A 17829-nucleotide genomic window follows, 5' to 3' on the forward strand; every position below is an offset into this window, starting at 1 on the left:
CCTGGGCAACATGGCAGAACCCCATCTACATTTTACAAAGGAAAAAAAAAAAGAAGGAATACTTCCACCAAGGGACACAACAACGACTCACCGAACTTGAAGTTGAGACTGCTACCTCGCTGCTATGACTCCTCACTCCACTGAATGAAAAGGCATTGTATTGGCTGAAGCCACTGATCCTATCAAGGGCAAATTGGATTGGACTACACAACGGAGGTAAGAGGAAGTATGGCTGGAATGTAGGAGATCCTTGAGGGTGCCTCTTAGTATTCTCCTGTTGCATGCATAGATTGCATAGTGATGAAGTCAGGGCATTTAAAGTATTCATCACTCAAATAATGTACATTGCATCCATTAAGTAATTTCTCATCATCTGTCCTCCTCCCACCCCCTTATTCTTCTGAGTCTCTATTTTCTATTATTCCATTCTCTACATCCATGTGTATACATTATTTAGCTCCCACTTAAAAGTGAGAACATGTGATATTTGTCTTTCTGTGCCCGACTTGTTTCACTTAAGATAATGACTTCCAGATTCATTTATGTTGCAGCAAAAAACAAAAACAAAAACAAAAACAAAAAACACAATTTCATTCTTTCTTATGGGTGAATAGTATTCCATTGTGTATATATACCACACTTTGTTTATCCAATCATCCACTGATAGACACAGGTTGATTACATTATCTTTAATCTTGTGAACACTGCCACAATAGACATACAAGTGGGGGTATTTTTTATAATGATTTATTTCCCTTTGAGTAGATAGATACCTAGTAATGGGATTGCTGAATCAAATGATAGTTCTACTTTTAGTTCTTTGAGAAATCTCCATACCGTTTTCCATAGAGGCCGTACCAATTTACATTCCCCACAACAGTGCATAAGAGCTCCCTTATCTCCACATCCTCACAAGCATCTGTTAGTTTTTTAAATTTTTAATAGTAGCCATTCTGGCTGGGGTACGATAATATCTCACTGTGGTTTTAATGCCCATTTTTCAGATGATTAGCGATGTTGAACATTTTTTCATTTACCTGTTGACCATTTGCATATCCTCTTTTGAAAGATATCTATTCATATCCTTGCCCACTTTTTAGTGGGACTATTTGTTGTTGTTGCTGAATTGAGTTCCTTGTATATTCTTGGATATTAGACCCTTGACAAATGCATATTTTGCAAATATTTTCTCGCACTGTGCAGGCTATCTGTTCATAAAGCTTTTTAGTTTAATTAACTGTCATTTGTCTTTGTTTTTATTGCTCAGGCTTTTGAGGTCTTAGTAATGAATTCTTCGCCTAGATCAATGTCCAGAAGAGTTTCCCCTAGGTTTTCTTCTAGAGTTTTTATGGTTTCAAGTTCTCCATGTAAGTCTTTAATCCATCTTAAGTTGATTTTTGTGTATGTTCAGAGATATGGGTCCAGTTTCATACTTCTTCTGCATAGGGCAAACCAATTTTCCCAGCACCATTTACTGAAAAGAGTATCTTTTCCCCGGTGTATGTTCGTGTCAACTTTGTCAAAGATCAGTTGATTGTAAATATGTGGCTTTATTTCAATATTTCCTATTCTGTTCCATTGATCTGGCTGTCTATTGTTTACGTCAGTACCAAGCTGTTTTGGTTACTATAGCGTTTTCAGTATAATTTGAAGTCAGGTAATCAGATGCCTGCAGCTTTGCAGCTTTGGGTTTTTTTTATTGTTTTTGCTTAGGATTTCTTTGGCTATTAAGGCTCTTTTTTGGTTCCATATGAATTTTAATATTGTTTGTTCTAATTCTGTGAAAAATGCTGTTGGTATGTTGATAGAGATTATAATCAACCTGTAGATTACTCTGGCCAGTATGGCAATTTTAATGATATTAAGTCTTCTGGTCCATGAGAATGGGATGTTTTTCCATTTATTTGTGTCATCTACGATTTCTTTCACAGGTGCTTTATACTTTTCCCTGTAGAGATCTTTCACCTCCTTGGTTAAATATATTCCTAGGTATTATTTTTTATAGCTATTGTAAATGGGATTACCTTGATGACTTCATTCTCAGCTACACTGTTATGGTGTATAGAAATGCTACTGGAAGATGTTGGGGGAGGAGCCAAGATGGCCGAACAGGAAGAGCTCTGGTCTACAGCTCCAAGCGTGAGAGACGCAGAAGACGGGTGATTTGTGCATTTCCATCTGAGGTACCGGGTTCATCTCACTAGGGAGTGCCAGACAGTGGGCGCAGGTTAGTGGGTGCACGCACCGTGCGTGAGCCGAAGCAGGGCGAGGCATTGCCGCACTTGGGAAGCGCAAGGGGTCAGGGAGTTCCCTTTCTGAGTCAAAGAAAGGGGTGACGGACGCACCTGGAAAATCGAGTCACTCCCACCCAAATATTGCGCTTTTCAGACCGGCTTAAAAAACGGCACACTACGAGATTATATCCCGCACCTGGCTCGGAGGGTCCTACGCCCACGGAGTCTCGCTGATTGCTACCACAGCAGCTGAGATCAAACTGCAAGGCGGCAGCGAGGCAGGGGGAAGGGGCGCCCGCCATTGCCCAGGCTTGCTTAGGTAAACAAAGCAGCCAGGAAGCTCGAACTGGGTGGAGCCCACCACAGCTCAAGGAGGACTGCCTGCCTCTGTAGGCTTCACCTCTGGGGGCAGGGCACAAACAAACAAAAAGACAGCAGTAACCTCTGCAGACTTAAATGTCCCTGTCTGACAGCTTTGAAGACAGCAGTGGTTCTCCCAGCACGCAGCTGGAGATCTGAATACGGGCAGACTGCCTCCTCAAGTGGGTCCCTGACCCCTGACCCCCGAGCAGCCTAACTGGGAGGCACCCCCAGGAGGGGCAGACTGACACCTCACATGGCTGGGTACTCCAACAGACCTGCAGCTGAGGGTCCTGTCTGTTAGAAGGAAAACTAACAAACAGAAAGGACATCCACACCAAAAACCCATCTGTACATCACCATCATCAAAGACCAAAAGTAGATAAAACCACAAAGATGGGGAAAAAACAGAACAGAAAAACTGGAAACTCTAAAACGCAGAGCGCCTCTCCTCCTCCAAAGGAACGCAGTTCCTCACCAGCAACGGAACAAAGCTGGATGGAGAATGACTTTGACGAGCTGAGAGAAGAAGGCTTCAGACGATCAAATTACTCCGACCTACGGGAGGACACTCGAACCAAAGGCAAAGAAGTTGAAAACTTTGAAAAAAATTTAGCAGAATGTATAACTAGAACAACCAATACAGAGAAGTGCTTAAAGGAGCTGATGGAGCTGAAAACCAAGGCTCGAGAACTACGTGAAGAATGCAGAAGCCTCAGGAGCTGATGAGATCAACTGGAAGAAAGGGTATCAGCGATGGAAGATGAAATGAATGAAATGAAGCGAGAAGGGAAGTTTAGAGAAAAAAGAATAAAAAGAAATGAGCAAAGCCTCCAAGAAATATGGGACTATGTGAAAAGACCAAATCTACGTCGGATTGGTGTACCTGAAAGTGACAGGGAGAATGGAACCAAGTTGGAAAACACTCTGCGGGATATTATCCAGGAGAACTTCCCCAATCTAGCAAGGCAGGCCAACGTTCAGATTCAGGAAGTACAGAGAATGCCACAAAGATACTCCTCGAGAAGAGCAACACCAGGACACATAATTGTCAGATTCACCAAAGTTGAAATGAAGGAAAAATGTTAAGGGCAGCCAGAGAGAAAGGTCGGGTTACCCTCAAAGGGAAGCCCATCAGACTACCAGCGGATCTCTAGGCAGAAACTCTACAAGCCAGAAGAGAGTGGGGGCCAATATTCAACATTCTTAAAGAAAAGAATTTTCAACCCAGAATTTCATATCCAGCCAAACTAAGCTTCCTAAGTGAAGGAGAAATAAAATACTTTACAGACAAGCAAATGCTGAGAGATTCTGTCACCACCAGGCCTGCCCTAAAAGAGCTCCTGAAGGAAGTGCTAAACATGGAAAGGAACAACCGGTACCAGCCGCTGCAAAATCATGCCAAAATGTAAAGACCATCGAGACTAGGAAGAAACTGCATCAACTAACGAGCAAAATCACCAGCTAACATCATAATGACAGGATCAAATTCACACATAACAATATTAACTTTAAATGTAAATGGACTAAATGCTCCAATTAAAAGACACAGACTGGCAAATTGGATAAAGAATCAAGAACCATCAGTGTGCTGTATTCAGGAAACCCATCTCACGGGCAGAGACACACATAGGCTCAAAATAAAAGGATGGAGGAAGATCTACCAAGCAAATGGAAAACAAAAAAAGGCAGGGGTTGCAATCCTAGTCTCTGATAAAACAGACTTTAAACCAACAAAAATCAAAAGAGACAAAGAAGGCCATTACTTAATGGTAAAGGGATCAATTCAACAAGAAGAGCTAACTATCCTAAATATATATGCACCCAATACAGGAGCACCCAGATTCATAAAGCAAGTCCTCAGTGACTTACAAAGAGACTTAGACTCCCACACATTAATAATGGGAGACTTTAACACCCCACTGTCAACATTAGACAGATCAACGAGACAGAAAGTCAACAAGGATACCCAGGAATTGAACTCAGCTCTGCCTCAAGCGGACCTAATATACATCTACAGAACTCTCCACCCCAAATCAACAGAATATACATTTTTTTCAGCACCACACCACATCTATTCCAAAATTGACCACATACTTGGAAGTAAAGCTCTCCTCAGCAAATGTAAAAGAACAGAAATTATAACAAACTCTCTCTCAGACCACAGTGCAATCAAACTAGAACTCAGGATTAAGAATCTCACTCAAAACCGCTCAACTACATGGAAACTGAACAACCTGCTCCTGAATGACTACTGGGTACATAACGAAATGAAAGCAGAAATAAAGATGTTCTTTGAAACCAACAAGAACAAAGACACAACATACCAGAATCTCTGGGACGCATTCAAAGCAGTGTGTAGAGGGAAATTTATAGCACTAAATGCCCACAAGAGAAAGCAGGAAAGATCCAAAATTGACACCCTAACATCACAATTAAAACAACTAGAAAAGCAAGAGCAAACACATTCAAAAGCTAGCAGAAGGCAAGAAATAACTAAAATCAGAGCAGAACTGAAGGAAATAGAGACACAAAAAACCCTTCAAAAAATTAATGAATCCAGGAGCTGGTTTTTTGAAAGGATCAACAAAATTGATAGACCGCTAGCAAGACTAATAAAGAAAAAAAGAGAGAAGAATCAAATAGACGCAATAAAAAATGATAAAGGGGATATCACCACCGATCCCACAGAAATACAAACTACCATCAGAGAATACTACAAACACCTCTATGCAAATAAACTAGAAAATCTAGAAGAAATGGATAAATTCCTCGACACATACACTCTCCCAAGACTAAACCAGGAAGAAGTTGAATCTCTGAATAGACCAATAAGAAGAGCTGAAATTGTGGCAACAATCAATAGCTTACCAATGAAAAAGAGTCCAGGACCAGATGGATTCACAGCCGAATTCTATCAGAGGTACAAGGAGGAACTGGTACCATTCCTTCTGAAACTATTCCAATCAATAGAAAAAGAGGGAATCCTCCCTAACTCATTTTATGAGGCCAGCATCATTCTGATACCAAAGCCGGGCAGAGACACAACCAAAAAAGAGAATTTTAGACCAATATCCTTGATGAACATTGATGCAAAAATCCTCAATAAAATACTGGCAAAACGAATCCAGCAGCACATCAAAAAGCTTATCCACCATGATCAAGTGGGCTTCATCCCTGGGATGCAAGGCTGGTTCAATATACGCAAATCAATAAATGTAATCCAGCATATAAACAGAGCCAAAGACAAAAACCACATGATTCTCTCAATAGATGCAGAAAAAGCCTTTGACAAAATTCAACAACGCTTCATGCTAAAAACTCTCAATAAATTAGGTATTGATGGGACGTATCTCAAAATAATAAGAGCTATCTATGACAAACCCACAGCCAATATCATACTGAATGGGCAAAAACTGGAAGCATTCCCTTTGAAAACTGGCACAAGACAGGGATGCCCTCTCTCACCACTCCTATTCAACATAGTGTTGGAAGTTCTGGCCAGGGCAATTAGGCAGGAGAAGGAAATAAAGGGTATTCAATTAGGAAAAGAGGAAGTCAAACTGTCCCTGTTTGCAGACGACATGATTGTATATCTAGAAAACCCCACTGTCTCAGCCCAAAATCTCCTTAAGCTCATAAGCAACTTCAGCAAAGTCTCAGGATACAAAATCAATGTACAAAAATCACAAGCATTCTTATACACCAATAACAGACAAACAGAGAGCCAAATCATGAGTGAACTCCCATTCACAATTGCTTCAAAGAGAATAAAATACCTAGGAATCCAACTTACAAGGGATGTGAAGGACCTCTTCAAGGAGAACTACAAACCACTGCTCAAGGAAATAAAAGAGGATACAAACAAATGGAAGAACATTCCATGCTCATGGGTAGGAAGAATCAATATTGTGAAAATGGCCATACTGCCCAAGGTAATTTACAGATTCAATGCCATCCCCATCAAGCTACCAATGACTTTCTTCACAGAATTGGAAAAAACTACTTTAAAGTTCATATGGAACCAAAAAAGAGCCCGCATCGCCAAGTCAATCCTGAGCCAAAAGAACAAAGCTGGAGGCATCACACTACCTGACTTCAAACTATACTACAAGGCTACAGTAACCAAAACAGCATGGTACTGGTACCAAAACAGAGATATAGATCAATGGAAGAGAACAGAGCCGTCAGAAATAACGCCGCATATCTACAACTATCTGATCTTTGACAAACCTGAGAAAAACAAGCAATGGGGAAAGGATTCCCTATTTAATAAATGGTGCTGGGAAAGCTGGCTAGCCATATGTAGAAAGCTGAAACTGGATCCCTTCCTTACACCTTATACAAAAATCAATACAAGATGGATTAAAGACTTAAACGTTAGACCTAAAACCATAAAAACCCTAGAAGAAAACCTAGGCGTCACCATTCAGGACATAGGCATGGGCAAGGACTTCATGTCTAAAACACCAAAAGCAATGGCAACAAAAGCCAAAATTGACAAATGGGATCTAATTAAACAAAAGAGCTTCTGCACAGCAAAAGAAACTACCATCAGAGTGAACAGGCAACCTACAAAATGGGAGAAAATTTTCGCAACCTACTCATCTGACAAAGGGCTAATATCCAGAATCTACAAAGAACTCAAACAAATTTACAAGAAAAAAACAAACAACCCCATCAACAAGTGGGCGCAGGATATGAACAGACACTTCTCAAAAGAAGACATTTATGCAGCCAAAAAACACATGAAAAAATGCTCATCATCACTGGCCATCAGAGAAATGCAAATCAAAACCACAACGAGATACCATCTCACACCAGTTAGAATGGCAATCATTAAAAAGTCAGGAAACAACAGGTGCTGGAGAGGATGTGGAGAAATAGGAACACTTTTACACTGTTGGTGGGACTGTCAACTAGTTCAACCATTGTGGAAGTCAGTGTGGCGATTCCTCGGGGATCTAGAACTAGAAATACCATTTGACCCAGCCATCCCATTACTGGGTATATACCCAAAGGACTATAAATCATGCTGCTATAAAGACACATGCACACGTATGTTTATTGAGGCATTATTCACAATAGCAAAGACTTGGAACCAACCCAAATGTCCAACAATGATAGACTGGATTAAGAAAATGTGGCACATATACACCATGGAATACTATGCAGCCATAAAAAATGATGAGTTCATGTCCTTTGTAGGGACATGGATGAAATCGGAAATCATCATTCTCAGTAAACTATTGCAAGAACAAAAAACCAAACACCGCATATTCTCACTCATAGGTGGGAATTGAACAATGAGATCACATGGACACAGGAAGGGGAATATCACACTCTGGGGACTGTTGTGGGGTGGGGGGAGGGGGGAGGGATAGCATTGGGAGATATACCTAATGCTAGATGACGAGTTACTGGGTGCAGCGTACCAGCATGGCACATGTATACATATGTAACTAACGTGCACAATGTGCACATGTACCCTAAAACTTAAAGTATAAAACAAAAAAAAAAGAAATGCTACTGATTTTTGTACACTGATTTTGTATCCTGAAACTTTACTGAATTTTTTTAAACAAATGAAACTGCAAATACAGCATACCCAAACCAGTGAGATATAGCAAAAGCAATGTTGAGAGAATTTTATAGCATTAAATGCCTACATCAACAAAGTAGAAAAATAACAAATGAAAAATAATCTAATGTGACACCTCAAGAAACTAGAGAAGCAAGAAGGAACCAACCTGAAATTAGCAGAAGAAAAGAGAGATCCGGGCAGAATAAATTGAGACCCCCCCCCACACAAAAATACAAAAGATCAGTAAGATAAAAAGTTGACTCTGAAAAGATAAACAAAATTGACAAACTGCTAGCTAAATTACCCAAGAGATAAGATCCAAATAAACAAAATCAGAAATGTAAAAGCAGACATTACAACTGATATCACAGAAATACAAAAGAGCATCAGAGACTATGATGATCAACTATATTCTCACAAACTAGAAAACCTAGACGAAATGGATAAATTCCTGGAAACATAAAACCTTCCAAGATTGAACGAACCACTGGCCTTTCTTCCCTATCTAACTCTTCCAAATCAGAATTTAAGTATTTAAGCATGCTAAAGATTCTTCTATTTTGAAAATTTGTCTGGCATACACATCCACTTGCCGTCACAGTAACTACTAAACTTCATGAATAATCATATACAGAAGAGAAGAAAGATATAAAGATATAATGATTTTATTAAACAGTGACTGACAGCTGATGATGTGTGAGGTGCCAAATTATGACTGATATTCAGAATACAACCTTGGTTAATGTAAACTGGCAGAATGTGTTTTTCTAATTAGCAAAACTTTCCAAATAGCTAAGGGTTTACCATTTAAGTATAAAAACATTTCTTTTATAGTCATTTTGAAAGGAAATATTCCCGAACAGTGTTATAAGCTTTCCTGCCTTTTAAAATATAATAAATGAAACTTTATTCTTTTCCTGATAATACACAATAATTACTGTGATAATAATGTATTTTAATTCAAGAATGGTGCTTCAAAATGCCAGGTGCATTCAAAATCAGAAATGTAAAAGGAGACATTACAACTGATATCACAGAAATACAAAAGAGCATCAGAGACTATGATGATCAACTATATGCTCACAAACTGGAAAACCTAGAGAAAATGGATAAATTCCTGGAAACACAACCTCCCAAGATTGAACCATTGGCCTTTCTTCCCTTTCCAGCAACTCCTCCAAATCAGAATTTAGCTTGGCCAGAATGTAACGCCAGTTGCTTCTATGCTAACTATATCAGCAAGAGTTACACGGTTTTTTAGTTATCCATTTTTTTCTTCATTATTTGTGCTCTCTATAAAGTCTGTTGTCAGTTCTTACTGCCATAAGCTCCTTGTGGTAGTCTGTTTCTTCACTTATAATTTGATGCTTTTATTATATTTCTTTTCTAAAACTGGATAACCAAATACATTAGAATTATGTATAATATAAAAGTAGAGCTTCAGAGGCACCCTCTCTAGGTAATCAATAAATAGTTGTTGCATTTGGAACAAAAATACAAAAGCTAGGCTACAATCCATAAACATTTGACTAGTATCAAGAGAAAAAACACAAAATGCCACATTTTTAAAACCATAATGACAAACCACGAAAAAAAGACACATAGGCTTGACTTATTCCCTGGCCCACAATGACATTCTAGCTAGAAGCAACTTTTTGAATCCTGCCTCTTTTACTACTAATTCTCATTTGTATATTGCATTATTTTGATGTCAAAATATTCACAATAATTTATTACTAGAAGAAAGTAAGGACACTGATTCCATACATTTTCAAAATTACTTTAAGATTTAAAACCCAACCAAAGAAAATGATTCCAACAAGAAATTATTTTTCAAAGTGGAACTAGAGCCAACTGCCAACTTGATAAAGACACAGAAGAGCAAATAATGATGTATTAAGACAGCATAATTATAACTGTGGTGTTAGTCTTCACCTTATGTATTTACACTACATGAAATATAATATTACCTAGTTCTTTTACAAATAATTAAAACTAACTTTCAAGTGTTAGCTCTTTTTTAGAGACGGGATCTCACTCTGTAGCCCAGGCTGGAGTGCAGTGTTGGGATTGTAATATTAGCTTTTTGACATGGTTAGAAATATATCCACATTTCCATTATTGACATAACTACCAAATAAGCATCCAACAAAGTCAACAGTCCTTTGACACTCAGCCTACTAATGATTAAATAACCATTAAGTTTAACTTCAGGGAAAAATCTCAAGTAAAATACATCCTACTACAGGAACTCTAAGGTGACTGTATTTCTAAACTCTTAGGTGACAGTATTTCTAAAAGTTGTTCTTCTATTAAATCATGTACCACTGCAATACTAAAAAGTCAGCAGCTAAACAGATATGCTCAATAAATCATGCTAACTAACCAAGCCTGTTTAAAAAAGAGGGGAGGGGAGTAAGACAAGACCCACCAATGGAATTCCATAAAATCATATTAAAATCTTGTGAGTTATCATGACAACAGAACCAAATTCTTTCATTTCCAGATTATTTGAGTCCCTTAAGTTGATTTCTTGTCTTCTTTGTTCCTCACAAAAGATTTGAGAATTAAAACTAACATATTAGAGAGAGAAGTTTATGGCACAAGAATGAGTCATTCTTTCATAAGTGATTGTTTCTTCAAGGGAAAAAAAAAAAACAACTGCATGGCCTGGGAAAAGAGAAGAAATCACTGAGGTCGAGTCACAGAATTGAGAAAACCTCATCTTAAACACTGAAAATGGAAGTGGATATTTCAGATGCCATAAATAGCATGAGATCTGACCTGTCAGCAACCAAAATTTAGGACAGTTTTTAATTCTACACTTTCTTACCATCTAAGTAAATAAAAATAAACTTTAATGTTGGCTTTGACAAACAGGTGGCAATGTTTTTCATTAGAATATTTGTATGTCCAAAAGAATCGGGAGCATTATAACTAATTCCTGTCATCTGTGTTTTGTAATATAGATAATTTAACATTAAACTACTGAGAGACATAAGTACCTTTTATCATTTGTCTGTACAATACCTTTAAGAAAACTATTTAACAAAAATTATTCTTTTTCGAGAAAACTGCTATTTCACGATGTTAAGATTTCTAGTTTCTCTTTTTTTTTTTTTTTTTTTGAGACGGAGTCTCACTCTGTCGCCCAGGCTGGAGTGCAGTGGTGCGATCTCGGCTCACTGCAAGCTCTGCCTCCCGGGTTCTCCTGCCTCATCCTCCTGAGTAGCTGGGACTACAGGCACCTGCCACCATGCCGGCTAATTTTTTGTATTTTTAGTAGAGACAGGATTTCACCATGTTAGCCAGGATGGTATCGACCTCCTGACCTCGTGATCTGCCCGCCTCGGCCTCCCAAAGTGCTGGGATTACAGGCGTGAGCCACCACGCCCGGCCTCTAGTTTCTATCTTTAGTGTTAATGGGTCATGCATATTATGCCAAGATGTAAAAAATCCTAATTCCTACCTGAATTCCTTGATAGAAAAGAGATAAGGATAGGAATTAGAAGCAGGACTCAAGACTATTCTCCCATATGACATTGACTTATGTGTAATTTTATGTATTCAATATTTAAAGTACGGCATGAATTACAGACTGATTTTTTAAAGGTGCTATTAAAACATTGCTAGTTTTATTAAAGCAAGCTAATAACATGCTCATGCCATTTGTTAAACATGAGGTTCTAGTTATACACTAAAATATACTGAAAGAATATCATCATTTTTGAAATTTAAAAATATTTATATTCAATTCTTGATTCTGTGCACTACAAATTAATCACATGTTCCAGGAAACCTGCCCCAGGATCTGACTGCCCCTGTAACCACAGTTCTAGATGATAAAACCTGAAGATGACAATTTCTCCGCAGCTCGGTCATTGCTGTCACCATTCTGACATTCTTAAAAAGTGATCTCTACCAAAAAAAGTGGAGAAAGCCAACAAAAAAGGACAACAAAAATAAGAGATGAAAGATGGTCCCCCCACCTCCACGTCCAAGACATCATTTTATTCATCATCCTTTTTTGTGCTTGTTTTTTAAATATTATTGTTGCAAAATCAAAATCACAGACATCAATGGGAACAACAGAATATATCTAAATTTTGTAGGCAATTTTGTATAATAGTGAAAAGGGGGTTTCTGGAATTCCATGCACTTGACTTCAAGTCCCAAATATGAGACTCCAGAAAACAAATATTTATTGAATGCTATTATGTGTTAGTGACTATACTAGATAGAATATATTGGTGAGCCAATCATATGAGACTTACAGAATAGTGGGAAAGACACTAACTAAAGCATTACTCAAAGAACTGTCAAGTTATAGCTGTGATGGCAATTTGAGATGCTAACAGAGGGAGTAAACGAGTCAGAGGTAAAGGCTTCCCTGAAAGAGTTATGATAAAGATGAGATTTGTATGAATATTCTGTTTAATCAACTAGATAAAGGGGGATAAAAGGTGGCAAAAAAAAAAAGTGGAAACAGCAAATGCAGTCTGTGGCAGCAGAAAGCACATTAATTTGAGAAACTGAATGAAAATCAACACGGATGGAGCAGAGGAAGCAAAACAAAAGAGTGTGATTCAAGATGAGTCTAAAGAGGTAGTGACCAGGCCATTCCAGGTCTTGTTAGGCCACATTTAAAAATGTGGTCTTTAGCCTAACAGCAACAAAATACCATTCAAAATGTTTAAACCTAGGGACTAAAGGATGAGATGCACATTTTGAACAAAAAAATTATTCTGGTTTCAGTGAGATAAGAGTTAAGAAAGAAGTGAAAGAGGATAAGAAGGAATGCTAGAAAACTAGTTAGAAGGCTATTTGGTAGACCAGATAAGAAACAAAGATAGCGGGTTGAGGAGCCAAGATGGCCAAATAGGAACTGCTCCGGTCTACAGCTCCCAGCGTGAGCGACGCAGAAGACGGGTGATTTGTGCATTTCCATCTGAGGTACCGGGTTCATCTCACTAGGGAGTGCCAGACAGTGGGCGCAGGCCAGTGGGTGCGCGCACCATGCGTGAGCCGAAGCAGGGCAAGGCATTGCCTCACTTGGGAAGTGCAAGGGGTCAGGGAGTTCCCTTTCTGAGTCAAAGAAAGGGGTGACGGACGCACCTGGAAAATCGAGTCACTCCCACCCAAATATTGCGCTTTTCAGACCGGCTTAAAAAACGGCACACTACGAGATTATATCCCGCACCTGGCTCGGAGGGTCCTACGCCCACGGAGTCTCGCTGATTGCTACCACAGCAGCTGAGATCAAACTGCAAGGCGGCAGCGAGGCTAGGGGAGGGGCGCCTGCCATTGCCCAGGCTTGCTCAGGTAAACAAAGCAGCCAGGAAGCTCGAACTGGGTGGAGCCCACCACAGCTCAAGGAGGACTGCCTGCCTCTGTAGGCTCCACCTCTGGGGGCAGGGCACAGACAAACAAAAAGACAGCAGTAACCTTCGCAGACTTAAATGCCCCTGTCTGACAGCTTTGAAGACAGCAGTGGTTCTCCCAGCACGCAGCTGAAGATCTGAGAACGGGCAGACTGCCTCCTCAAGTGGGTCCCTGACCCCTGACCCCCGAGCAGCCTAACTGGGAGGCACCCCCCAGGAGGGGCAGACTGACACCTCACATGGCTGGGTACTTCAACAGACCTGCAGCTGAGGGTCCTGTCTGTTAGAAGGAAAACTAACAACAGAAAGGACATCCACACCAAAAACCCATCTGTACATCACCATCATCAAAGACCAAAAGTAGATAAAACCACAAAGATGGGGAAAAAACAGAACAGAAAAACTGGAAACTCTAAAAAGCAGAGCGCCTCTCCTCCTCCAAAGGAACGCAGTTCCTCACCAGCAACGGAACAAAGCTGGATGGAGAATGACTTTGACGAGCTGAGAGAAGAAGGCTTCAGACGATCAAATTACTCCGACCTACGGGAGGACACTCGAACCAAAGGCAAAGAAGTTGAAAACTTTGAAAAAAATTTAGCAGAATGTATAACTAGAACAACCAATACAGAGAAGTGCTTAAAGGAGCTGATGGAGCTGAAAACCAAGGCTCGAGAACTACGTGAAGAATGCAGAAGCCTCAGGAGCTGATGCGATCAACTGGAAGAAAGGGTATCAGCAATGGAAGATGAACTGAATGAAATGAAACGAGAAGGGAAGTTTAGAGAAAAAAGAATAAAAAGAAATGAGCAAAGCCTCCAAGAAATATGGGACTATGTGAAAAGACCAAATCTACGTCGGATTGGTGTACCTGAAAGTGACGGGGAGAATGGAACCAAGTTGGAAAACACTCTGCAGGATATTATCCAGGAGAACTTCCCCAAACTAGCAAGGCAGGCCAACGTTCAGATTCAGGAAATACAGAGAACGCCACAAACATACTCCTCGAGAAGAGCAACACCAAGACACATAATTGTCAGATTCACCAAAGTTGAAATGAAGGAAAAAATGTTAAGGGCAGCCAGAGAGAAAGGTTGGGTTACCCTCAAAGGGAAGCCCATCAGACTAACAGCAGATCTCTCGGCAGAAACTCTACAAGCCAGAAGAGAGTGGGGGCCAATATTCAACATTCTTAAAGAAAAGAATTTTCAACCCAGAATTTCATATCCAGCCAAACTAAGCTTCCTAAGTGAAGGAGAAATAAAATACTTTACAGACAAGCAAATGCTGAGAGATTCTGTCACCACCAGGCCTGCCCTAAAAGAGCTCCTGAAGGAAGTGCTAAACATGGAAAGGAACAACCGGTACCAGCCGCTGCAAAATCATGCCAAAATGTAAAGACCATCGAGACTAGGAAGAAACTGCATCAACTAACGAGCAAAATCACCAGCTAACATCATAATGACAGGATCAAATTCACACATAACAATATTAACTTTAAATGTAAATGGACTAAATGCTCCAATTAAAAGACACAGACTGGCAAATTGGATAAAGAGTCAAGAACCATCAGTGTGCTGTATTCAGGAAACCCATCTCACGGGCAGAGACACACATAGGCTCAAAATAAAAGGATGGAGGAAGATCTACCAAGCAAATGGAAAACAAAAAAAGGCAGGGGTTGCAATCCTAGTCTCTGATAAAACAGACTTTAAACCAACAAAAATCAAAAGAGACAAAGAAGGCCATTACTTAATGGTAAAGGGATCAATTCAACAAGAAGAGCTAACTATCCTAAATATATATGCACCCAATACAGGAGCACCCAGATTCATAAAGCAAGTCCTCAGTGACTTACAAAGAGACTTAGACTCCCACACATTAATAATGGGAGACTTTAACACCCCACTGTCAACATTAGACAGATCAACGAGACAGAAGGTCAACAAGGATACCCAGGAATTGAACTCAGCTCTGCACCAAGCGGACCTAATATACATCTACAGAACTCTCCACCCCAAATCAACAGAATATACATTTTTTTCAGCACCACACCACACCTATTCCAAAATTGACCACATACTTGGAAGTAAAGCTCTCCTCAGCAAATGTAAAAGAACAGAAATTATAACAAATTCTCTCTCAGACCACAGTGCAATCAAACTAGAACTCAGGATTAAGAATCTCACTCAAAACCGCTCAACTACATGGAAACTGAACAACCTGCTCCTGAATGACTACTGGGTACATAACGAAATGAAGGCAGAAATAAAGATGTTCTTCGAAACCAACAAGAACAAAGACACAACATACCAGAATCTCTGGGACGCATTCAAAGCAGTGTGTAGAGGGAAATTTATAGCACTAAATGCCCACAAGAGAAAGCAGGAAAGATCCAAAATTGACACCCTAACATCACAATTAAAACAACTAGAAAAGCAAGAGCAAACACATTCAAAAGCTAGCAGAAGGCAAGAAATAACTAAAATCAGAGCAGAACTGAAGGAAATAGAGACACAAAAAACCCTTCAAAAAATTAATGAATCCAGGAGCTGGTTTTTTGAAAGGATCAACAAAATTGATAGACCGCTAGCAAGACTAATAAAGAGAGAAGAATCAAATAGACGCAATAAAAAATGATAAAGGGGATATCACCACCGATCCCACAGAAATACAAACTACCATCAGAGAATACTACAAACACATCTACGCAAATAAACTAGAAAATCTAGAAGAAATGGATAAATTCCTCGACACATACACTCTCCCAAGACTAAACCAGGAAGAAGTTGAATCTCTGAATAGACCAATAACAGGAGCTGAAATTGTGGCAATAATCAATAGCTTACCAATGAAAAAGAGTCCAGGACCAGATGGATTCACAGCCAAATTCTACCAGAGGTACAAGGAGGAACTGGTACCATTCCTTCTGAAACTATTCCAATCAATAGAAAAAGAGGGAATCCTCCCTAACTCATTTTATGAGGCCAGCATCATTCTGATACCAAAGCCGGGCAGAGACACAACCAAAAAAGAGAATTTTAGACCAATATCCTTGATGAACATTGATGCAAAAATCCTCAATAAAATACTGGCAAAACGAATCCAGCAGCACATAAAAAACCTTATCCACCATGATCAAATGGGCTTCATCCCTGGGATGCAAGGCTGGTTCAATATACGCAAATCAATAAATGTAATCCAGCATATAAACAGAGCCAAAGACAAAAACCACATGATTATCTCAATAGATGCAGAAAAGGCCTTTGACAAAATTCAACAACCCTTCATGCTAAAAACTCTCAATAAATTAGGTATTGATGGGACGTATCTCAAAATAATAAGAGCTATCTATGACAAACCCACAGCCAATATCATACTGAATGGGCAAAAACTGGAAGCATTCCCTTTGAAAACTGGCACAAGACAGGGATGCCCTCTCTCACCACTCCTATTCAACATAGTGTTGGAAGTTCTGGCCAGGGCAATTAGGCAGGAGAAGGAAATAAAGGGTATTCAATTAGGAAAAGAGGAAGTCAAACTGTCCCTGTTTGCAGATGACATGATTGTATATCTAGAAAACCCCACTGTCTCAGCCCAAAATCTCCTTAAGCTCATAAGCAACTTCAGCAAAGTCTCAGGATACAAAATCAATGTACAAAAATCACAAGCATTCTTATACACCAATAACAGACAAACAGAGAGCCAAATCATGAGTGAACTCCCATTCACAATTGCTTCAAAGAGAATAAAATACCTAGGAATCCAACTTACAAGGGATGTGAAGGACCTCTTCAAGGAGAACTACAAACCACTGCTCAAGGAAATAAAAGAGGATACAAACAAATGGAAGAACATTCCATGCTCATGGGTAGGAAGAATCAATATTGTGAAAATGGCCATACTGCCCAAGGTAATTTACAGATTCAATGCCATCCCCATCAAGCTACCAATGACTTTCTTCACAGAATTGGAAAAAACTACTTTAAAGTTCATATGGAACCAAAAAAGAGCCCGCATCGCCAAGTCAATCCTGAGCCAAAAGAACAAAGCTGGAGGCATCACACTACCTGACTTCAAACTATACTACAAGGCTACAGTAACCAAAACAGCATGGTACTGGTACCAAAACAGAGATATAGATCAATGGAAGAGAACAGAGCCGTCAGAAATAACGCCGCATATCTACAACTATCTGATCTTTGACAAACCTGAGAAAAACAAGCAATGGGGAAAGGATTCCCTATTTAATAAATGGTGCTGGGAAAGCTGG

The 17829-nt window shown here is 39.5% G+C and overlaps 1 protein-coding gene across 3 annotated transcripts in view, besides 1 other annotated feature; it reads right to left on the reverse strand.

The window, feature by feature from the left end:
* Positions 1-17829, reverse strand: part of CWF19L2 (CWF19 like cell cycle control factor 2) — a 131466-nt gene that overhangs the window by 33366 nt on the left and 80271 nt on the right. The window lies entirely within an intron of this gene.
* Positions 1720-2919: an enhancer, noted in NCBI's record as "BRD4-independent group 4 enhancer chr11:107232171-107233370 (GRCh37/hg19 assembly coordinates)". NCBI's record gives its function as "activates an origin of replication core promoter dependent on BRD2, P300/CBP, MED14 and CDK7 cofactors, and independent of BRD4, by STARR-seq in HCT116 cells {active_cell/tissue: HCT116}" and the evidence as "EXISTENCE:reporter gene assay evidence [ECO:0000049][PMID:35650434]".

This window comes from Homo sapiens, chromosome 11 (assembly GCF_000001405.40).
Source record: "Homo sapiens chromosome 11, GRCh38.p14 Primary Assembly".
Lineage (NCBI taxonomy): Eukaryota > Metazoa > Chordata > Mammalia > Primates > Hominidae > Homo > Homo sapiens.